Source organism: Homo sapiens, chromosome 6, assembly GCF_000001405.40.
Source record: "Homo sapiens chromosome 6, GRCh38.p14 Primary Assembly".
Classification (NCBI taxonomy): domain Eukaryota; kingdom Metazoa; phylum Chordata; class Mammalia; order Primates; family Hominidae; genus Homo; species Homo sapiens.
This window is the reverse complement of record NC_000006.12, coordinates 43,812,534-43,836,690: the sequence shown is the minus strand read 5'-3', so window position 1 is coordinate 43,836,690 and position 24,157 is coordinate 43,812,534. Positions and strand designations below refer to the sequence as shown.

Here is a 24,157-nt window from a genome sequence, read left to right as displayed (position 1 = left end):
CCACAAGCTATCCCTAATGCCAGCCATGTTCAGCACTGGCCAGAATATGGAGGGCTCAGGCTACCCAGTCACCAAACCAGGGAATACCTCTGTGTCGTGTCATAATTACTAATGATAATAAGCACGTGGGGCCTGTGTGCCAGACAGGGTTTCAATATGTCTCTACGAACTATCAGGTCAGATCTAAAGGCTTCCCCAAAGTTTCTCTTTCTTGTAAGGCTCGCCCTTTCCTGCTCCGATCTCTCTCTTTCACACACACACACACACACACACCTCCTTGCTCCTGCAGTTCCCCAGGCCTGGAATGCCCTTCCTCCTCCCCACTCTCCAGGATCCCCTCAAGGCCTTCCTCCCAAGGAAGCCTACAGGGCCCCCAGGGTCCCACATAGCCCAGGCTTACGGACCCCTTCAGTAGGTGTCACCAGGCCCAAGAGAGCAAAGTCACTCAGCTTAGCATCTTCTCTCCTTTCTCACAAGGTCAGGAAGGTCAGGGCCGCCCAGCAGGGGTGACAGTCAGATGTCAGGGGACACTCACCCGCACAGGCACTCACATACGCACACATGCTCACCAAGTGTGTTTATAGAGTTCTGGGCAACTGTAAACTTGGCTCACTCCAGCTGCCCCCAGGAGAGGGAAAACCATAAACACCTCCTGCTCCCACCAGTTTCCCTCGACAAGGCGAGTCACCTCCCAGGACCTGGACACCCACCATTATAGGGAACTGGCTGTACTCATCGACTCTACTCAGTGAGCAATGCCCAGCCTCAGTCACATCCCCAACACAGGGGAAGCGCCCCAGGCCCCTGCCATAGCCCTCCTGAGTCTTTGCAACCCTGGGAATGCCTCACCCTTCTCTTCCCTCGCCACCTTCAAAGGGCCACTCTCGGTCTTACCTCTAAGACACTCCCACTGATCTCCTTACTACATACTGAGTACTTTCTGGAAGGGGCTTTAAGACAAAAAGCCTTTGGGATGAGACCTAATATTCACTCTTAGAAATCCATTCCCCTGGGTCAAGCAGTGCTCTTTCCTCTGGAAGGGTTGTCTCAATGGGTCTCTGGATCTCTATGTGACTGTGCTGCAGCAGAGGCAGCTGGTATACAGGTGGGTACCACCTGGAGCATGAATTCTGGCTCTAAGTGTGGCACCACCTGCTTGGGCGGTACACTCTCTGAATGCGCAGTGAGGAACGGACTGCAAATCTCTAGGGTCCCTCCAGCTCTAGTAGCCAGTGGTTTCTCCTTCCAATCAAGGATTTTTATTGGGAAGTCACACAATTGATCTTGCTACTTTGAAATGTTGCCGTAACTTTAAAGGAGAAGTCCTACTGAGGCAGGCCTAAAGCGTAATAAAATTAGGTTAGCTGTAGGGAGGAACTTCCAAGACCGTGCATTACAAGGCACAGAGGATTGTAAAGCAAAACCAAAGAATATCTCTTCTGGAAATCTTTTAAAATGCAAGAAAGATATTCCTCAAAGGCCGAGTCTGACTTTGCTGGATATTTGGGGCCTTTTATTACTATTGAAAGGGGAGAGAGTGTGACCTTTCCTCAAGCCAGGAAAGGGTTGGGGGGGCCTTGATGGAGTTCCCAGTGCCAAAGGATAGAGAGCTGAATGGACCCAGGGCCTCACCCCTACCTCCTCCATTGTCCCCTGTTCCCCTTAATGAAGGCTCAGACCAGAACAACCAATGAGGCTTGGAAAATCCGCCTGTTGTGTGAGGGGATTTTCCATAAATCTCCCTCATTCAGGCAGCGACAGCCCCGTGCCCTGTGGAGGGAGGGCTGCCTGGCTGCTGGGGACCCTTGTTAAGAACAGGTGCTTTCTAGCCAGATCCCTGTTCCTCTGGGCCCCTCAGCCACCTAGGGGCTTTTGTAGGGAGGTAGTGAGGAAACCCACCCAGGCTTCCAGGAGCCATCTCCAAGGAAAATAACCTTGGGCCCCTTCAAGCCTGCAAGGGTGAGAAAATGGGCTCTGACCTACCAATGGGATTGCAGTTTAGAGGGTTGTTTTGCATAAATCTGTTCACCACCCGTTCAAGGCCTCCCTTGTGAAACATTATAGACCTCACCACGGAGTATGGGAGCCACTAGCCACATGTGGCCATTTAAATCTAAATTATCAGCTTGAACAATGTTGTGAAACCCTACCTCTACAAAAAAATTTTCTTAAATTAGCCAGGCGTAGTGGCGTGTGCCTGTAGTTCCAGCTACTCAGGAGGCTGAGGTGGGGGAATGGCTTAGGTCTGGAAAGTCGAGGCTTCAGTGAGCCGAGACTGCACCACTGCACTCCAGCCTGGGCCACAGAGTGAGACCCTGTCTCATTCATAAATAATCTAAATTAACTAAAATTGGGTTTTAAAACTACCGTAAATCAGATGCATAGTTTAAGTGCTCGGTACCCGCGTGTGGCTAGTGGCTACTGTTTTCCACAGTGCGGCTCGAGAACATTTCCACCATCACAGAATGTTCTAGCGGACAGCACTGCTTAGAGCTGACACTAAACAGAGCAGCCTTCCATTAGAGCAGAAATGCAAGCACTGACAACAGGAATAGAAGAAGTCTTGTGCTGACAATGGAGAAGGCTCCAGGGACTCAGGAAGCCCCAGTCTGAGGGGAAGGCACAACCCTGTCCTCAGGGAGCGCCCAGCCCAAAAAGGGTTAAATAATTCCTTGGTCGGATCTTGTTTTCCTGAGCAGGTGAGGGGGAAAGGGCCCAGCTGTCACTTAGCAGGCTCATTAGTGATGTCTGCTGGGGCCTTGCCCTCCCCAGGGGTAATTATTAACAGGCCTCAGGTGTGAGAGAGCATGCAGCCCAGGCCTCACCCTCCCGTTCAGCTGACTTGGCCAGCTGGGCATCCTTGGTTGGGGCGGGAGGACCCCAGAACCAAGAATCCCAACTGGAGAGACAGCCCTGGGGCTGCCTGAATAATGATACCACCAAGACCTGGCTCTGTGGCCCCCGTTCCCCAGCGCTCCCACCCTGAGTTAAGCCCTGCTCTGTGTTTGATAAGATGGACTGCCAACCAGGGGGCACAGCACTGACCAGGAAGGCTGCCCGCCACTTCCCAATTAAACTGTTCAAAACTGGGGGGCCGTCCCTGCAGCCTCACTGGGGAAAGTCTAATCTCACCAAACCTGGGCCAGGGCCCCTTGCCTTGTCAGCAGGAATTTTCCACATTTGCTGAGATTTCTGTTTGTCTTCTCCATTAGCTCAACAAGCATAGATGGAAAGATGACTAAGATAATTAGTGACTGACAGTAGCTCTGACCATGGGGCCAGGCCAGGAGTGAGTGGCAGGGGCTGGAGTGTGGCTGGAGAAGCTGTGAGTCAGCCAGAAAGTGTGAGCGCAGGGCCTGTACCAGGCCTGGAGACCTCAGACCAGACAGGAGGGAGCCCAGAGCAGACCCATCAGAGTCAGAGGCAAGGGACAGAAAGAGCAAGTGATAGCTCCTGCCTCATAACCATGGAAACGGCTCCAAACGGAGGCCGCCTCTACCAAAGAAGACTCAAGCCCCTGGGTGGGTCAGTGGGCCTGAGGAGGGAGAAAGAAGCCTATTCCACAGCTGCAGCCCAAACCTGGCCCTCAAATGGCCTATGTTCACATGGCACAACAAGCAAGCAGGGATGCCACTAGAGAGAAAGCCCAACCTTAACCTCTTGCCAGTAGGGATGGGGTAGGGGAGCTGGGTTTAGAACCTTCTTTCTAAAGCATATCCCAAGCTTACCTCAGCCATCACCCACTTCAGTAGGCTCCCAATTCTTTTGATTATATACCTCTATCCACAGAAAATCTGTGACATATGCCCCTAACATGTATATAAGATATACAATATGTGCTACCATACTAATAAATTATGTACATTATAAAGGACAAAAGAAAGAATAAAAGTGAGGTTCCAATGTCTTCCCAAATGTGGATACAGTGTGGAGACTGTTGATTTACTTAAAGAGTGCGGGTGACACATTTCTAACTAAGCTCAGTAAATGAGCAAATCTTCCTGTGTTTGCAAATTCAACATCAGCCAGTCCTCCCTGGTTAACAGTTAAGATTAGTTGCTATCTCAAAATTATTTTGAACTTGAGCTGACCCTTATGCTGGGATGGAGATGGTAGCAGAGCTGGCCATGTCAGCTGACAGCAGGCTCAGAGCACCCCCCACCCCACATGGTGACTTCGCCCATGCTGTTCCCTCTAAGTAGAATGTCCTGCTGCCACTTTTCACAGTGGCAATGATTTGCCTTCAAAACTCCACTCTTCTCCAGGATTTCTTCCCTGAATTCCAGGCTGGTCAAGTGTCCCACCCCTAAACTCCCACAGCCCACTATGAAGACAGTACTGACTTTAAACAAAATGACAGACAGCGGGTCCTCAAATAATGTCATTTCATTCAACATTGTTTTTAAGTGAGAAAAAAATTCATTTTATTATACGTAATTTCACTTAAAGTTGCAATTTCCAAGGACCTATTGATGATGTTAAGTGAGGATGTACTGTACCTCTATTCTGGAATGTACTGTGCTGCCCTGGAACAATGTGTTTAACCCTCTGCCTCCCTGACTTGATTGTACAACTCCTGAAAGGCAGGGGATTGCTTTGTTCATCTTTGTATCCTCAGCTATCAGCATATGCAGACACGGATATATCCACCCATGTCCGCTCAGCACCCACCATTCTGACACTTTGAGCCCGTTTGGATTCCCATACAGGGCAGGTCAGAAGTGCCAGGGAATTGACACCCACTTCCCTAGGATCTCTCAACCAATGGCTACATGATTTCATGGCTAATACGCTAGCTCCCTTGCCCGCTGGCTGGGTAACTTTGAGATGAGTTACCCAAAGGTCCCCAGTTGCATACAGCAGTCACCTACTCAGTAGCAGGCATTTATTTTATTGGCTTCTTTCTCTTTCCTGCCTCACTTCTCTACTCCTTTACTGGTGTTTTATGGAAATCTTCCAAATAAACTATTAATGCTCAAGTCCTTATTTCAGAGGAAACCAGCCCAAGACACTGACATGTAATAGGTGATCAATAAATTCTAATTAATGAGAATCTATTGAGCAACTTCTATCCCAGCCATTGAGGGTCGTGGGAGGAGAAAGCTCACTAGGATGGAACAGCCACAGAAGCTTCTTGAGGAGTTGGATTGAGCTGGGGCATTCAAGATGGGCAGGGTTGGAGCAGGCAGACAGGAATGCAGATGGAGTTCCCAGCAGAACGAAGGGCATAAGCAAAGGTGGGGAGGCTGGAATGAAGCCTACCTATCTGGAGGGCAATGAGGAAGCACTGAGTGACACATCATATCTCCGCCCCAAGGGTTTTCCCTTTTCCATGCCTAGTTCCCCAGGTTCCTCTTTCCCTGAGCCCTGGCAGTTGGACTTGGGGCTTGGCATCTTGGGGGAAGGGCTTCTCAGAAATTCCGTGCCCTGCCAAAGAAGCAAGCAAGCCCCTGTCCCCACCCTTCAGAGCAATCCTCATTATCTTTCTCAAGACAGGCAGAGATTAGGCTGACTTCTGGGAAGGCGGATGCCTCCACCTGCCCCTTCTCCCCATGTCTGGAAAAGGGAATCAGAAGAAAGGAGCCAGGGATTGACTCGGTTCTTCTGCTGATTATTACATGCAATTAAAAGCAGGCGGGAGACAAATCTGGGCACGCTGAGAGGGGGCCCTGTGTATCCCCTCGTCCACCCTGGCCTCTGGGGGTCCTGCCTGAGCCGGCAGCCATCCGGGCTGTGGGGGCAGCAGCTGCAGCAACACCCATCCTGGGCATCCACACTTAGGGAGGCATGCGGGCTTGTTTTGGGGCTGCAGACCAAGCCCCCACCCCTTAGTGCTCAGCTGAAAGAGGTCTGCTGGCAGAGAACCCAGCAAGGGCAGGCCTGGGAGTCTGATACCACCTGCCCAGCCTGGCTTTGCCATCTGCTCGTTGGGGGACCTCAGGTGAGTCCTTCACTTTACCTGCAACCCAGTTTCCCCAACTGTGCAATGAAAGAGCTGGATACTGACTAAGACTTCTTCAGCTCTGATGTTTTATGTTCTTGACTCTGAGAAGCTGCTTTTTTGCCCATGTCTTCAGGCCAGAGTTTCTGGGATGCTGACCTTGAGCCTCAAACTAAGCTGCTCTGCGGTCCCAAGCTGGGTCTGGGGTGCTGTTGACCTCAGACTGGAAGCTGACCCTAAATGCCAGATTCCTCAATACACACACACACACACACATTTGTATATTACCATGCCTGTAACAAATTGTAAAGACTGACAATTTGCAAAGAAGGAGACCCAGCATTTAAACACACAGGCAGGTTCCCAGGGGAGAGGATCCTACACGAAGCCTCCCTGGCCTCAGCAATGCCAGGCTGAGGGTTTAGGGTCAGGTGGCTTCTGTCCTCTCCTTAGAGGAATGAGTATCAGGAAAGAGACTAGGGATTGCATGGAGCAAGAATGGGTTTACAGAGAATAAATCATGTTAAATTAACCTTCTTTTCTTCCCAACGGGGTCTGTGGTCTCTGAGGGACACCATGGAAATTGTGATTCCAGTGAGACTAAAAGGGACATAAGCACCTATTCATTCACTGGCATTTCCCATCTTGTGATTCTTCCAATCCATAGGGTGCCAACCTGGAAGAATGGAATGATCTTTAGTGGAGGAAGTTAGGTCTCAGGGAAAACCTCCCCACTGACATGAGACCCCAGGGACCTCGCAACGTCCTGACAGGTCGCCCTAAGCTGATGTGCAGACCCCACCCCACCCATCCACAGGCAAGGAGAAGCCGAGTGACTTTTCCAGGTACCTTTAAATTTGGAGATGACTTGGGTGGTTCCAGTCTCTCTCTGGCCAGTTGCCCACTGGTTAAATCAAATGAGGTCAGGTGCATAGATCCTTCCTCAACAGCTTGGCCTTAGAAAGTCCTTTGCTCCCCAATACAACACTGCATTCCCCACATCCCAACCAGACGCCGTGTACATAAAAGCATGTCCAAATTAGAACTATATTAAGATACAATGTTTCACCTATCAGATTGGCAAAAATCCAAAAACAAATTGATAGCGCCCTTTGTGGGCCAGGCTGTGGGGAAATAATCACCCTCATGCATTGTTGGTGAAAGTTTAATTGTTACAATCTCAGTGGAGAACAACTTGGCAAGAGGAACAATCCCAGGTCTGGGAATCGATGCTATAGATGTACCTACTACGTGCGAAATGACGCATGTACAAGATTATTGACTGCAGGATTGTTTGTAAAAGCTAAAGATGGAAATGACCTAACTCAAGGAAAGCCTGGTTTAATACATGACAGATCAGCCATACAATGGAATACTATGCAGCTGTAAAAAAAAAATCAGGATATTCTTTTTGTACCATTAGTGAACATCCTCCAAAGACATGGAATTAACTCAAGACAGTTACGGAGCCATGTGCAAAGTACACGACCTTCTATAGAGAAAAGGGAGACATAAAAATATATATTATTTTCTTCTTGTAAAAGTAGAAATTTAAAAAATTACACCTTCCCTCACAGAGGCAGAGTAAAAGACTCAAGAACCCCGGAAGGAACTTGCCCTGCCCACTTCTCCGGGTTTGAATGGGGTGCAAATGAGGTAATGGATGAAAGTCAAGAGCTCTAGACACTGTCAGGGCCAAGGGGAAGGCATAGCCTGACCCTCTCTGGAATTAATGCCGTCCCGAGGCCTCCACCTTCATTGGCTAGGGTTTTCTCAGTTGCAAGCTAACCTCAGGAAATGAGTTTAAGCATACTCCCCAATGAGCTCATTAGGGCCAGTTGTCCTGGCCAATGAGAAAAGTGCAGGGGTGGGACTTAATATGTAAATGGCGCATTGGGTCCGGTGAAAGCAAATTCCTCTTAGGTCCCCCTTCAAAGAAGAACAAGCCTGCACACTGTTCACACTGCAAGTGATGATTTGGTTTCAGCAAGAGACATCACACTAAAGTGTGTGCCCTCCATTTGAAATCAGTTTGTTGTTTTCTTTGTAATTAAACTGCAAATTGATCCTTCTTTTTGAGTTGTATGTAAGCTGAACATGAAAAGTGTTTTGTATCTTGGTTGCATGTTTGCAGAGATCTAAGTGAATCTAATATTAAGGTAACACTGGGGTCCCTCAGGATTCTTTTCCTTTAAGTGAGGTCCTAGACATTATTCATGGCTGAAATAAATCTATTTGAGTACAAGTTTCTAGAAAGCCCGGGAAGAGTCTTTTTTCTTTTTGAATCCTCTTGGGAATACAGTAGGTGCCTAGGAAATGTTTGCTGAAATAATTATCTAATTTAAGAAGGATTCTAGGAGGGAAGCTGGTGAGGTCCTGCCCCCTGCCCCATTGGCTGCAGCTGGCAAGGAGGCAGGGGCTTCATCAAGGGGTGGCAGATAGGGCAGTGCCCAGCTCCCAGGCTTGGCCTGCATCTCCCAGGCTTGGCCTGCATCTCCCAGGCACCTGCCTGAGTACACAACCTCTTCCCTCGTGGGGCCTCTGGTTTCCTGCCTGGGAACGGGGGTGGGAGCAGTGGCTGACCAAGGCAGACCACTGCCCATGTCGGGCGTGGTTTCCCGAGTTGATGGGAGCACGTTCCTGAGATAGGGGTGCGATGGCCGGAATGTAAGGGGCCAGAGGCAGTGATAGACTGCGCCAGTCCAAGAGCTGAGCAAATATTGACCCTCAGCAGGACAGCCTCTTGAAAACCCTCCACAGGATGCCTCTCGCTGTTCCCCTATCTCTAGCCACCCTCATGGTAGGGTGCCTCCAGCTGGATGGAGGTGGGGTAGGGGCTGCTGATGCTCCCTCTGAGGCCCAAGCCCAAAACCCAGGCCCAGAGACACTGGGCTGGGGACACCAGGGTGGCCTTGCTGCTCCTGCAGTAGGGTTCTAGGTGCTTCCAGGCCTAGGTCTCACTGTTCTCTGGGCTCTCCAGCCTGGGTGTGGGTGGCATCTGGAATAGGATGTGGACCTCCCTAGAGCCAGGCTGTCCTTAAAATGCCCCAAGGAGGCCCTTGTCTCAGTTCATTCATTAAAAAAGAAACCCACTACGAGCCATCAACAACTGCATAGCAATCAACTGCCCTCTTAATTACCAAAAATAATAATGATAAGTAACATTTATTAAGGGCTTTCTGGGGCGAGCACAGTGGCTCACACCTGTAATCCCAGCACTTTGGGAAGCTGAGACCAGAAGATCACTTGAGGCCAGGAGTTCAAGACCAGGCTGGGCAACATAGCAAGACTTCATCTCCGCTAAAAATTTTAAAAATTAACTGGGTGTGGTGGTGTGTACCTGTAGTCCCAGCTACTCAGGAGTCTAAGGCAGGAAGATTGCTTGAGCCCAGGAGATCGAAGCTGCAGTGAGCTATGATCACACCACTGTACTCCAGCCTGGGCAACAGAGCGAGACACTTGTCTCTAAAACAAAACAAAACAAAACAAAAAGCTTTCTGTGGGCTGAGCGCTGTACTAAATGCTTTACATGTATCACTCATTTAATCTTTACAACCACCTTAAGAAATAGATATCATTTTTATCCCTAGTTTACAGATGTGGAAATTGAGGCACAGGGAGAGCGAGAAATGCCAAACAGAGAAAAGTATCTCAAATCTATTGTGTCATTCTCTGTGATGTAGAAATGTGGAGATGGGAGGTCCTTTGAGAAGGCTGTGTGCTGGCTTCCCTTTACAGATGGAGAGACTAAGACCTCTGTGGGGGAATGACTTTTGCAAGATCACTCTGGGCTATAGAGCAAGGGTGCCGAGTCAAAGGTGCTGCTGACTGGCCCACATTCCTAAGGAGCTGACCAGCTGACCGCTGACCCTTGGGGTTGCCTGAGGTCTTATCTTGCAAGAATCCTAAATGCTTCGTTTTCTTTTCCTGCAGCCCTGCTACTCTGGGCAAACACCCCAGCCCCTCCTCCATCCCACTGGGTATCTGTCTCCTTTGCCACCTCACTCACTCTGACCTTGGCATTTTCCCACATCACCCCAGCAAATTGCTTTCTAGGTCCCATCATTGGGCCTTCTCCTGTGGTTTCTCCAGTATGTTTTGGAAAAACCTCTATGGGTCTCAGTTACCCCACTTGGCCAATGAGGGCATTGGACTGGATGACCCAAGATCCCTCCCTCTCTAACTCTCAGGTGCTGGGAATCACAGATTCTAGTCTGCACTCTGTCTAGCATGGCTGCTCTCTCCATCTGGTCCTTGCTCAGACCCTGCAGGCAGCTGGGGTCTCCCTGTCACCTTCGCAGCCAGGTTGGAAGGAGGTCAAGAATGGAGACAAGAAGACTGACGGGTGGGTGAGCTCAGAGGGGAGTATCCAAAAAGGGGTTCATTTCATTGCCACCTGTCTCCCAACCAGATTCCATCATTCCATCCGCATACATTACTCCAGCCTCTCAGGCCTGGTCTAGACCCCTAGGACCCCTCCTCTGCCAGTGGGGGAAGAAAGGGGAATGCAAGTTGGGGGAGTGGCAGGTACGGCCCTTCCCTGGGAGGTGGTGGTAACTGCAGGCCACTAGCTGCCCCTCAAGGGTGCTGAGGAGCCTGGCTGGAGCTAGGGCTCGGCCCTCCATCTCGGCTGAAGGCAGCACCCTCTGCTCAGAAGAAAACACAGCAAGTGTGCCCAGTCTGCCCTGCCCTGGCATGCCCTTCCCTTCCCAGGTCAATGACTTTGTGAACTCCAAGAAGGATTGAAGGCCTCGCACTCATCCTCCTGCCTGTCTCCAGATAGTCTCACTGGACGTGATCCCTGAGCCGGGAGAAGTCCCTGGGCTCTCCCGCAGTCTCAGTGCCCACACGCTGCATGGGCAAAGGGCAGGGCAGTCCCCCAGAGCTCCACACCACCTGGCACACTGGCCCACCCTCAGCCCAGCCCAGCTCAGCCCTCAGAGTGGCAGGTGTAGAGCGTGTGTCCTGGGGAGCTATCGAGGAAGCCAGCACAGGCCTCCCCCAGCCCCTCAGGACATGCATTCCCTGGCTTCAGAAGAGGCTGAAGGCAAGGAAGAACACATAAACCCCTTCCAGGGACCAAGGACAAGCACTCTGGGGAAACAAGTGTTGACACACAGAATAGGCTGGGAACTTAGGAGGTTTCCTGCGACGGGAAGGGGAGCCAGGCCCAGAGAGGAAGTGGATGCTTCAGAACACAGAGGAATTCCCTCCACTAATTTTACCTGACCCAGAGAAGCTGGGCTTGGGAACTCCCTCAGGGCAAAGCTCTGCGTCTCCCCTCAGACTGAGGCCCCCTAAGGACGGGGCTGTGTCTTCCCTCAGACTGAGGTTCCCTGAGGACAGGGCTACATCTCCCCTCAGACCGGGCCCCCCTGAGAAAGGCTGCATCTCGCCTCAGACTGGGACCCCCCTGAGGATGGGGCTGTGTCTCCCCTCAGACTGGGGCTCCCTCAGACTGCGGCTCCCTGAGGACACAGCTTCATCTCCCCACTCAAGTTGGGGGCTGAGTGATAGAAGGAGGTGGTTTTCCTCGTCGTACTGGAAACTGGGAGCCAAACATAGAAGTTGAAGAAGACTAATTCCATGCCATGACCAGAAAGAACTCACTTTTTTTGGTCATGTAAGTGGATTATCTTTATTGAAAATAAAATAAAACCCTTACATACATTCTGGATATCAAATCAGTTTCAATTAGGTGTTCAAGCTCATTTACTCTGAAAACATCTTCATCTACCAGGAAAAAATAAATAAACAGTTAAAATTTCATCTCACTTGTTTTTCAAATTAGGTAATATATCCTCACAGTTCAAATATCAAAGTAATTATCCTTGAGAATTCTCACTCCCAGTACCCGCACCCCCCCCACCTTCCCATTCCCTCCACCACATGTAATCACTTACATTAGTTTCTTACGTATTTTTTCAGTGTTTGTTTATGCAAATACAAATAAACACTAGTGTTCTCCCCTCTTGGAGAGAACTTTCTGATAGCTAACTAGATGGCATCCAGTCAAAATCCCAGCTTTGTCTCCAGGCTGTGATGCTGACTCCTTTGGCTCTCACGTCCCTCTCCTGGGCTGGGGTGACAGCCACAGCCCTGCTTGCTGCGAGAAGGAGGAAGTGTATGTGACAGCCCAGCGTCTGCAAGCGCTCAGTACGTGCTTATTGGTTTGGGTTTCTTTTTTAAAGAAATCATCTGAACCCAATCTGTTTCCCATCCCCTTAAGTTTGGCTGAGCTGGCTTGTTGGCAAGTGGATTTGGAGAGAAGAGCTCTTTAAGTGAAGAGGGTGGGTTGTGAGTGGGAGACTGTAAGAAGTGGGGTGAGGCCATTGCAAATGTGGAGGCAAGTGGCACTCCTGAGGTCTGCGGGTTCTGAGAATCTCCCAGCAAGGAATCCTGGTCCTGGGAACAAAAGTCATGCCCATGTTTCCCTGGCAGCTCAAACCCTGCAGCCTCAGAGGCCAGGTTTAAAGCCCTATCTAAGGTACACAGCATTATCTCCATTCCTCCCCGTGGGGGAGCCCAGGCCTCCTGGAGGGCCTGGCTCCCACTGCTTCGTTAATATTTACCATAACTGGAAAACAGCAGGCACACACAGGCATGGGCTCCCTTCCCAGACAGAAATGTGCACTCAGCAAATCACCCCTGTGGATCCCCAGGAGCCCCTTCCACAGCTGGGCGGGCACCAGTAGAACAGACTAGACTGGTGACATCAAGTCTCTGCACACCCACTGGCAGCCCTGGCTCCTTCATGCAAGGGAGGACCAGTGAGACAGGTGACTGACCAAGACCCCACCATCCATACACGCGGCTGTTGAGCATTTGAAACATGGCTGGCCCAAATCAAGACATGCTCTGGTGTGGAATACATGCCACATTGTGAAGTGTTTGCATGAAAAATAATGTAAATTATCTCAACAAGTTTTCATATATTGATTGCAAGTTCACCTGTGCATTTTACTTTTTGATGAGGCTTCTAGAAAATTTTAAAATAGAGATATGGCTCACAGTATAGTTCTATGAGACAGCACTGACCCAGAGTGCTACGGGAAGTGTAGTTTGGAGGCTGCCCTTTGCCTTCTGCCTGGCGCAGGATATAATCACCACACCGGCTCCAGCTCCTAGAGCCTGTCCTGTTCTCTGAGAACAGGAGCCAGGTCTCCCTTCCCTCCTAATTTTCCCTGAGCGCCCAGACGTTTGGGAGCAGGGATAGGCGGCGATGTGAGGAGCCAGCCAGTCACGCTGTCTGCCAAGTCAGTGACAGGGTAGCGCAGGGAAGGCCAAGTCCCCAGCCCTGTGGCCACCATTATAAGCCTCCTCTGTGCTGATTAGTGATCAAATTAGAAGTTGCTCATTTCCTTCAGGTGGATTTTAGAGGAGGCATTGTTTCCTCAAGACTTAAGATTCAGGCATTCAACAAGGTGTAGATGAGAACACACCTGGGTTGGAAATGGCTTGGAATACTCAAAGATTACAAATTTTCACATAGAATTCACAAATAAATGTAGGAAAAGGCATGGCACAATGTCTGTCTTCTTCCGTCTTCCACTCAGCCTTGTCCCATCATTTTTTATTGTTTTTGTAGAGACGGGGGTCTCATTATGTCGTCCAGACTAGTGTCGAACTCCTAGCCTCAAGCGATCCTCCCCCTCGGCCTCCCAAAGTGCTAGGATTGCAGGCGTGAACCACTGCAACTGGCCAGCATTCCACCATTTTTAGACACACAACCCACCTAAGTCCCTTCCTCCTAGAAGAGCTCTTCTTGCAAAAGAAGGTCCCCCAAGTCCATTCTTTTCCAAGCTCAACATTCTAGTTCTTTACCCATTTCTCACGAAGCCTCCTTTACAATTATTTAACTCCCTGTGTGCTCCTTGAACAGACTCCACTGTGTCTCCCACCTTACTGTCCCCTAGCCGAACCCAGTTCCCCTCATTTGGACTTGCTGCTGCTGAGCCCAGGGGGCCAACCGCCTCTCTCATTCTGGATACGATATGTCCATTAACCCACCCTATAATTGCCTTGCTCTTCAGATTACTACACATCATTGCTGACACACAGGGAGTTGTCAAAATTCTCTAAGTCTTTTGCACTAGGTACATTTACCCTCTCTCATTATGTAGTTGGCATTTGGGACCTGGAAATGTCACCTGGTATCACTGTGTCCTCTATTCTTCCTTGTATCGTGGCCACCTGTCTTGGTTCTTCTGAGTCCTGATTCTCTCACTGATGGCTCGCTTTTCCACCCAGGGGGAACAGAATCACATCTAGGCCCTCGTCGGAATCATTAGCTAGTGGTGGGTCAAGTGCTCACCCCCACCACTCTTGGAAAGTGCTCTGGTCAAGGTACCAGTCCTACGATCAATCCTCAGTCCTCATTCCACTTGGCCTTTTGGCACCATTTGTCACATTTGGCCGCCCTCTTTTTTTTTTTTTTTTTTTTTTTTGAGATGCAGTCTTGCTCTGTTGCCCAGGCTGGAGTGCAGTGGCACCATCTCGGCTCACTGCAAGCTCCGCCTCCCAGGTTCACGCCATTCTCCTGCCTCAGCCTCCCAAGCAGCTGGGACTATAGGTGCCCACCACCACGCCCAGCTAATTTTTTGTATTTTTAGTAGAGATGGGGTTTCACTGTGTTAGCCAGGATGGTCTCGATCTCCTGACCTTGTGATCCCCCCGCCTCGGCCTCCCAAAGTGCTGGGATTACAGGTGTGAGCCACCGCACCTGGCCCACCCTCTCTTATGGAAAGGTTTTTTCACTTGATTTTCAAGTCATCACACTCTCTGGTTTTCCTCCTTCCTCCCTGGATGCTCCTCCTTAGCCTCCCCTGCTGGCTTTTTCCAGCTTCTCAACTCTTCAACACTGGGATGCCTCATGGCTTGTCCTTGGACCCTGGTCTTCCTTATTTTCATTTACTCTCTTTTCACACCATCAGCAAAAATATAGGGAAAAAGACCCCCTCAGACATTCAAAAATGGCCACAACTTCTATGAAATTTGGAAATTTGACAATACCTGTAAATATTAAACACACATACATTCTTTGGCTCAACAATTTCACCTCTGAGTATTTATTCTACAGAAACACATACATATCACATGTATCAACCACGTGGGAAGTGATATATAGACATACAACCCTGTTGACAACTCCCTGTGTGTCGGCAATGATGCATTATTCACTGTGGAAATCTTGATAAGAGACAAAGACTGGAGACTTTCGGAGGCTGGTTGAATCCATGATGAGGCATCTATACCACGGTGCTCCACCAGCATGAAAAGAATGAGGCAGCTTCACATGCACTGCTATGTAAAAATCTTCAAGACACATTGTTAGAGGAAAGGAAAGTTAGAGTTTTTAAATGGCAAGGAAAATATGCTACAGTTTGTTTTTTTAAAGGGTAGGTAGGTAGATTAGATTAGATAGATAGATAGATAGATAGATAGATAGACAGATAGATAGATAGATGATAAATGAAAAAGATTATATAGATCATAGATAATAGGTAGATGAAAAGATAGATGAAAAAGATTAGATGATAAATAGATAATAGATTAAAAATAGATGATAGATGATGATAGATATATAGAAAGACAGATTCATATAGAGGAACTGTTTGGCTAAGAGTGAAGGGTGAGAGGAAGACTTTTCATAGTATACCTTTTGTGCTTTTTGAATTTGATTCAATGGATATTTCTTATCTATTTCTCAACACTCCTATTTTTTCAGTTGACCTGACACAACTAGTTGTGGGGAGCCCATGCTGGCTCCTGGTGACCTCTTTCCTTTTCTATTGTCTTTTTTTTTTTTACATTTACTGATGTACCATAAAAAATATTACAAATGATACAATGAAGAGGTGCATAGGGCAAGGTATGTGGGGAGGGTCACGGAGCTTCCATGCCCTCCCTGGGCTGGCCACACTCCAGGAACCCCGTGTTCAGCTATCCGGAAGTTCTCCGAATGCTGTCCTTTTGGAGTTTTATGGAGGCTTCATTACGTAGGCATGACTGACAACTCCGTAGAAATATGATTGGACAAAAAGAGTATGATCTCACACTAACATACAGAGTAGGAACCCAGCAGGGCCTGTCTGTTTGGATTCTTCTTGGCCTCTCTGTGCAGCATTCTTTCCTCCAGAGGATGGGGCAGGACCCTCTCTGGAATAAGGGTCTTTTGACCTACAATCAGATTAGAGTCTTGCCTTGGGCAGGTAAAAGGAGGACAGGAGAAATTTAGAGAGCAAGATTCTGTAAGCACCCCAACATTATGACAACCATGTTATGACAACCATGTATCAAAGGCTATGTCTGTATCAAGATTGTATCAAAAGCTATGGGAATTATGAGCCAGGAACCATGGACAAAACCCTACACACACACACACACACACACACACAATCGTAATATCACAGGCCATTCCCTTGTTTTCAAACATGAATCCTTCACATCAAAAGAATGTACAACTCAAAACATACTGCCACATCTGCTCAGTTCTGGGAATTACTTTTAGTTTAAAAAAAAGAAACATACTGCCACATTGCGAGAATCCCATTCAGTCATTAGTAATTAGTCCAGTCAATCATTGTAAGGTACGAATATGTCTCCCAGGGGAGGCCACTCAGGCTTGTAGGCTTCCTTTCAATCTTGTCAGGTTCCAAAAGCATGAATGGTCTCAGCAAACATCGTTTTCACCTTTTGGGCATCTGTTATAATTGAGCTAAGCAATAATGTCGTCACTTGCTCTGAGTCTCTTTGAAGGTGTTAATGTAATGTTGGACTTCCCTCCATTTATAACCCATTTGTTCATTCCTTTACCCTCAGCTACTGTTTCTCCTTCTCTCCATTAATACCCAAACTTTTTCACCTTTGGAAGGGACATTAGAATCGCCACTGTGCTAGTCTAGTTTGCAGGCAGCAATACAAGCTTAGCAAGTACTTCCTCCTCAGTTCGCTCCCATTCAGATAGGGTAAAGTTACATAGGTGCAGAACTGGTGAGCTATTTTTACCACCAGGCAATATAGCTGCATTCACTCTTAGCCCCACTTTTGCTAGGTGGGGTAAAGGCACAACCCTCCCCCATTAGGCACTTAAGAATTCTGATGTAAGGTTTAAAAGCATAGTGACAGTGTCTTGCTTAGAAATCATCCCTGCTTCCAGCACTTTTGGTTGCAGCCCTGGTCCTAGAACCACTGCATCAGGCAGGGGAAAAAAATTTTTAAGGTGATTTGGGGAAGAAAAAATATATATAGTCGTTATACCAGTGTACTCCTCCCTTGGCAAGAATTGCATCGTCATACCAGCATCCTCCCTGCCCCATCTTCCCCAGATCAACCAGAAAAACAGAGAAAAACCCAGTGGGGACGCCTCTTCAGTCCCACTCATGTTGAGGTGAGCACGCACTTGTGAAGGCATGTAAGCCAGCCCTGCGTGCTTTCATCTCGACTTTGTCTTAGAAAACCAATTTTTATTTTTATTTCATTTATTTATTTTTGAGACAAAGTCTCACTCTGTCACCCAGGCTGGAGTGCAGTGGTGCAATCTCGGCCCACTGCAATCTCCGCCTCCTGAGTTCAAGCATTCTCCTGCCTCCTGCCTCAGCCCCTGGAGTAGCTGGGATTATAGGTGTGTGCCACTATGCCCAGCTAATTTTTTTATTTTTTGTATTTTTGTATTTTTTGTAGAGACGGTGTTTCGCCATGTTGGTCAGGCTGGTCTCGAGCTCCTGACCTAAGTGATCCACCCGCATCAGCCTCCCAAAGTGCTGGAATTACAGGTGTGAGCCACTGCTCCCGGCCAGCAACTGATGTTTTAATTGCCCATTCCACTTCTCTATCAAACTCTTACTCTGAGGAGGATAGCTATCTGCTCATTGCTGGATATTATGGGCTGTACACTGTGTTCCTTGGTCTGAAAAAAGGATGGTTGGCCATCCAAATCCATGCGATATTTTCTGTTCTGGTTTTTTTTTTTTTTTTTTATGGCACTCTAAAAATTTTCATCTTCCACCAGGTAAGCAAAGTCCACTCCAGAGCCAGTGTCTATTTCTGTCAAGACCCACTTGTAGCCCCTCAGGGTACCACTCACTTGCCAGCTTTCTTTAGGGCCTTCCCACCAGGGAAATGGCCACATAGCCATTGGCAGTCTCTGGCTCTCTTGCTGACAAACAGAACAGTCTTATTAGCAGTTTGTGCCGGAGAGGGTACAAAAGGAACATGTCTAGATCCAGCCCTTCTCTGCACCCCCATCTCTGCTCATTTCAAGGACCCAGGTGAACACCTCAAAGAAACAGAGATATCTGCTTGTCAATTCCAGTCACCTTGCAAACATGGAGAGGGGCTTTCTTAGTGGGCGTTGACATGTTCTACTTTAAGGCACCCCTCAGATTTCCACAGGGCCATGCCCCGTAAGGGCATTTCTTCAATAAGCCAGGTTTCTATTGCCCTTCTGCCTAACCATCTGGCCAGGCCATTGGCCAATGCCCATGAGTCGGTAAAAACCCAACCACAGGGGCTTCTGGCATCGTTCAATTCTTCCATCGCTGTTAGGAAAGCAGCATGTGATTCAGCCCACCAAGCTGATTAGTTTTTACCTTCTTGGATCATAGTAGCAGCCTTCCAAACAGGAGGTTGTCCATTTACCTTGGAACTGCCATCCACAAACCAAGCAGCTATTTGCTGGTCAGTTGAGAGCACTGTAGGATCCACAGCTCCTCACACAGTTCCACAGTCAGTCCTAGGGTGTAATGAGGCTCCCTGCTCATATCTCCTCCTTACATTCCTCAGGTTGCATGATTCTGTATAAGCCATTTCCATTTTATTATGGAACCCTCCTGGGCACTGCTGTCCTCATTAGAGTGTTTTTCTGACATCACCCGGGACAGCATGGATGTTTCAGGTGTCAAGATCATTTTATGTCCTTCAGACATGGGGTACCAAGGATACAATGAACAGATGCGTAAGACAAGGTATGCAGGAAGGACGTGGAGCTTCCATGCCCTCCCTGGGCGCACCGCCCTCCAGGAACGGCCATGTTTCCAGCTATCCAGAAGCTTCCCACTTTTCTAATGCTCACTAACTACTCCTTCCATAATCCACAAGGATCCTTGCCCAGGACTCTTTTTAAAACTCAGAACCACGTTTTTCCCTTCTCAAGGCCCCCGTGCTCTTGGCTTTCTCAGGTGGGACAAAGTGGCCCCAGCAGTCTGGTTCACAAGCTTCCTTTGTGCCCCAAGTGTTGTTTTATGGGGAGAGGCCCTTTGAACACCCCAGCAGCAGTGGAGAGGGGAGGGCCCATCCCACCTCCAGGGCTCCCTGGGCCTCTGTGTCATCTACTGCTGCCCTCTGGGTTTGCAGGCTGCTCTCCTGCCAGGGGGCAGCAAGGAGCCCTACTCTTCGTACACTCCCCACCCGTGCTGTGTCATCAGGCCCAACTGCAGCCTCTGGATCCCTTGATCTTGACTGGCTATGATCACAGCTAAACAAGCCTGGGTTGCCCCTAGCATCTTTCACAAACCTCTACCTATTTTTATCTTCCAGAAACTCTCTTTACAGGCCCGTAGTCCTGTCTCACATCTGTCCTTCCCTTCTCTGTTCAAGCCTCCTTAACACAGCAATTTGGCAAAGAGCTCTCCTGCCACACACTGATTTCTGTGGTCACCTCCCTTCTTCCTTCATTACTGGGACGCAGACTACCCTGTGTGGGATTGCACAGTGTCATGTACATTTTTGAGAGCTTCCCAGCCCTCTTGAGACAGCTATCCCACCCAGAGATTCGTGGCATGGAACCCTGCCTGTCTTTTTGCTGAAATATTGGCAGTCTGACTTTGGAAAGTCTGTTCCAGGCCCAAGTCTGTTCCAGGCCCTCCACAGCTCTCATCTGGATGGCTGCAAGAACCTCCTTGCTGGTCTCCCTGCTGCACTCTGAGCTTCTCACGGCCTCTCCCACCCACCCAATCTCTGTACCAGCATTGAGTAATATTTCTAAATTGCACAGCCAGCCCTGCCCCTGCACTGGCAGAAGCCAGGATAAATTGGTTAGACAAGGTTGACAGCATGACTTTCAAAGCCCACCGTGGCCTGGTTTCTTCCCCTCTCCACCTGCACCTCCTCTCTCTCTCTCTCTGTCTCTCTCTCTCCCCATCACTTAACTAAATATCTAATTGTGCTCACTTTCCTGGACATACTAGGTTATTTCACATGTCTATTTCTGCTTCTGCTCCTGCTGTCAATCTACCTAGGATGACGTTGCAACTGTTCTTGATACAGCTGCTCTAAAACTCACTCAGGAGCCACCTTTTCCAGGAACCCTTCCCTGAGCCCCCAAGTTAGGCCAACTCTGCTCCTCTGGTTTCTCTTTGCATCCTGAGCCTATCCTAGCTCTTACCACACAAGGCAGGCACTGCTCATCCTACCTAACAGTGATTCTGCTCCACCCTTTCTTCCTTGCCACCAGAACCTCACCTTTTCGGGTGACAATGTATCTAGGCCCAGAAGATGAGTCAAGCTTCATCTAAGACATCACCAGCATCCTGTTCCTATTTGCTAGTCCCTCAGTTTCCCAGCCTCCCTGAAGCATTTCCTCTCAGTTGTGCCCAATGATACATGAGAGGTCATTTTCAGAGGGGGTATCTGGGAAACACGTTTCTTCCCTGATAAAAATAGAGCCCCTTTCTCTCCTTGGCTTTTTTCTTTTCTGCCTTGAATATAATTATAGGAGTCACCATAGCAGCCATCTTGTGACCAGGAGGCAACAAGCATGGAGACAAAAATTAACACGTTGAAGATGGCAGAGCAGAAGGATAGAAAAAGGCTGAGTTTTGATAGCATCATTGATGTCATCCTTTCACCAAAGCTGGAACCCTCTGCCTCCAGACTTCCAGTGATGTGATATTGATCAATGTCTTTATTGCTCAAGCCACTGTCTGTTGGGTATTCTGTTGCTTGATACCAAATATATTCCCAACTGATGTGGGCTGTCATAAAAACAATCTTGGTATCTGCCTCCATGACTAGACTCCTTGAGGGCAGGAATGGTGTCTTATTTTTCTTAGTATTCCCAGAGCCTAACACAATGACTCAATAAATTATGGTTCGAAGGAATTAAACTGATGACTTCCCTTCCCTCTCGATTACAAATAACAGAACAGGTCCACTTTAAATTTTTTTTAATTTTTAAATTTTTTTTTTTTAGAGACAGGGTTGCACTATGTTGCCCAGGCTGGACTTGAACTCCTGGGTTTAAGTGGTTCTCTCACCTCAGCCTCCTGAGTAGCTGGGACTACAGGTGCACTCCATCAAGACCAGCTGGTTGCCTTTAGCCCAGGTTTGCCCTGTCACTGAAGCTTTTCCAACCAATCCCTCCTTCTTCCATTCACTTCCCCCACCCTCTGAAAGATTAAATGGTCCCCAGAGCCAGTTGAGAACAGTCCAGATGCTCTGCCCTAGCAAGTCCTCACAGGTGAGGTCCCCACCCGCTGTGTTGCCTTGGGCCAAGTGGTCATCGAGAAGGCGCCATCCACCTCCTCCTGCTGCCTCCATGGCTGGAGGACAGGACACACCCTGTTAGCCCTGATATCTGGATCCAGATTTCTGCTGTTCCAGAGAACCTCACCTTCACTCTCTTTAGGAATAGAACTTCCTTGAAGCCAAAAAGTTGGCTTTCAGAACAGGCCCCAGGCCTAGGCAAGTACAGACACCTGATTAACAAAGAGGCCATCTGGGTCAGCCACTCCCACTCCAACTGCCATACCTACCTGCCTTTCCTGAGCTTGGCTTGGGAAAATCTTAAGTTCCAGAAGGAACCACCACCCTGTGCCCTAGGTCTGCTCATTAAATATAGATCTAATTATTTATGGTACAAAATATACTTTTAAAACCTAATCAGTGTTGAGCACTTAAAGACTGATAGCATTTCGTATCGATTACTGGGGGCTCCAAATATGTGTACTAAATACTGAATGCAGAACTCAGCTTCTTATAAAACTTCACAGAAAGTATCACCCAAGGACAGCTCTCTGACTCGCCCACATTGACATTTGGTAACTGGCCTCGCCTAGGGACTCACCCATCACCCCTCAGTCCCCCTGTGAAGCCTTCAGACAGAGGCCCACCTCATGGAGGGCTCCAGCCGGGTGCTCTCCAATGTGCCTGCCCATTTCTGCTCCCACCAGCCAAATCAAGCATGTCCCAAAAGCCATTATTTCTGTCCCCAAACCTGTTTGCCAGTTGTGCTTGTTATTGTAAGTATGCAGTTTAATAAAATATGACACAAAACAATGAAATATGATGTGAAAAGAAAGAGTTTTCTTCTTTTCTTAAAAATCCAGGTTGAACACTTTGGAAGAGTTTGGTAACAGGAAACAGCTGAAAAAATTGCCATTGAGCAAGGCATAGAAGAGACAGACTATAAAGAATGGTGCTGGCGGGCAGGGTGGAGGGCCTATTCTGGAAGGAATCTACCCTTGATTGGTTCTTAAGAGCCAGGAAGTTCTCACTCCACTTTAAATAAACCAAAACCAGAACCCAAAGAAGTGAATATAATGGGTTAGTTTATGCCAGAAGACCATTCATGGCACAGGAGGGCCTGTGCCCAGGGGAAGGCTTCATTCATACATCAAAATGCTGGCACATGTTAGCACATCCATAGGGCTCCAATTAAAATGAAATCTTTACATTGTACAGGTTTTCTTTCTTTATGATCATTTGTCAAACTAACCAACTACAAGCCTTGATGGTATTGGATAGGAGGGCCTCACCGCACCAATTGTAAGTCCTGCAGCAAAGGCTTTATCACTGAGCCCCTGTTTCCTTGTGGATTTTCATCTGCCCCACCTCAGAGGACCGTGAAGATTACCGGGCGAGCGAAGCAGCCAGTAAAGTGCCTGTCGTTAGCAAGTATCAATTCTCCATTCCCATAAATGGTCTCACCATCCAGCCAATTAAGCAACTCAGAAATCTCGGAATCATCCCCAGCAGCTCCCTCTCCTTCCCTTCCGAACTCCTTCTACACCTCGCCCATCACCAAAACCCTGCCAAGTCTCCTGCTGAAAAACTCCTGATTATCCTTGGAGCTCCAGCCTCATAGAAGCTGCCCTGGACCAAGCCATCACCCTCTCTCGCCTGAGATCCCTACCTGGCCCTGCTGCTTTCACTCTCACCCCCGCCCCAGAATCCAGCCTCCTCCAGCAGCAAGAGGGATGTTTTAAAACATGACTGTAATCATGTCACTCCTTTGCTTAAAACTCTCTGGCAACTTTCAAACCTCCTTCGAATGACTGAGAAAGCCATACACACACACACACACACACACACACACACACACATACACAGCTGCACCCGCCACCTGTCAGTTCCTCAGAATGCACTCTGCTCCTTCGCACTTCAGGACCTTTGTACACACTGTCCCTGCAGCTTAGCACAGTCCTCACCCCTTCCTGGCTCGTTAACGCCTACTCATCCTGCAGGCCTCTACTTAAATGCCATTTTCTCAGAAATACTTTCCCTTTCACTTATACTAAAAATATTTATTCAGCACCTTCTAATGCCAGGCATTATTCTAGGTCATGTCTTGGGAAGACAATCATGAACAAGACAGACAAAATCCCTGCCCTTGCCAGGTGCAGTGGCTCATGCCTCTTCGTGAACAGAGTGCCGAAGCCAATGGCTCAGCACTTTGAGGGGCTGAAGTGGGGGGATCGCTTGAGGCAGGAGTTCAAGGCCAGCCTGGGCAATATAGCAAGACCCCATCTCTACAAAAAATACCAAAAAATTAGCCAGGCACAGTGGTGTGTGCCTATAGTCCCAGCCTTGGGAGGCTGAGACAGGAGGGTCCACTGAGCCCAGGAGGCTGCAGTGAGCTATGATCATACCACTGCACTCCAGCCTGGGAAACAGGGCAAGACTCTGTCTCTTAAATAAATAAATAAATAAACCCCTGCCCTCACAAAGATTACATCCTAGTGGGGAAGAAAGGGAATGAATAATTAAATAAATACTATTTTCAGATGGTGATAATAAAGGCATCTGATCACAATATGATTCATTTTATTATTAGAAGAAATAAATTATTACAAAAAATTCATATTTTTAGTCGCTTAAGGAAATTAGGTTTGAACAATATATCAAAGGCATTTATTTATACCAGTGACTGTTGAAATTTAGTTCTAGAATGTTGTTTCTGTTTGTACAATTTTTAAAATGTGACTGTGGCATGTTCCT

At 48.3% G+C, this 24,157-nt stretch overlaps 1 long non-coding RNA gene across 3 annotated transcripts in view, besides 2 other annotated features; it reads right to left on the bottom strand.

Annotated features, from left to right (window-relative positions):
• Positions 1 to 24,157, bottom strand: part of LOC105375070 (uncharacterized) — a 107,357-nt gene that overhangs the window by 67,825 nt on the left and 15,375 nt on the right. The window contains exon 3 of one of the 3 annotated variants that reach the window (XR_926833.3): positions 14,981 to 15,256. The exons of the other annotated variants lie outside the window; for them this stretch is intronic. This is a non-coding gene — a long non-coding RNA (uncharacterized LOC105375070). Of the gene's footprint in view, positions 1 to 14,980; positions 15,257 to 24,157 lie in introns of those variants that run through there. 3 annotated transcript variants of the gene reach the window in all.
• Positions 19,358 to 19,417: an enhancer, noted in NCBI's record as "active region_24620". NCBI's record gives its function as "activates an Ori minimal core promoter by ATAC-STARR-seq in GM12878 lymphoblastoid cells {active_cell/tissue: GM12878}" and the evidence as "EXISTENCE:reporter gene assay evidence [ECO:0000049][PMID:35858748]".
• Positions 19,538 to 19,587: an enhancer, noted in NCBI's record as "active region_24619". NCBI's record gives its function as "activates an Ori minimal core promoter by ATAC-STARR-seq in GM12878 lymphoblastoid cells {active_cell/tissue: GM12878}" and the evidence as "EXISTENCE:reporter gene assay evidence [ECO:0000049][PMID:35858748]".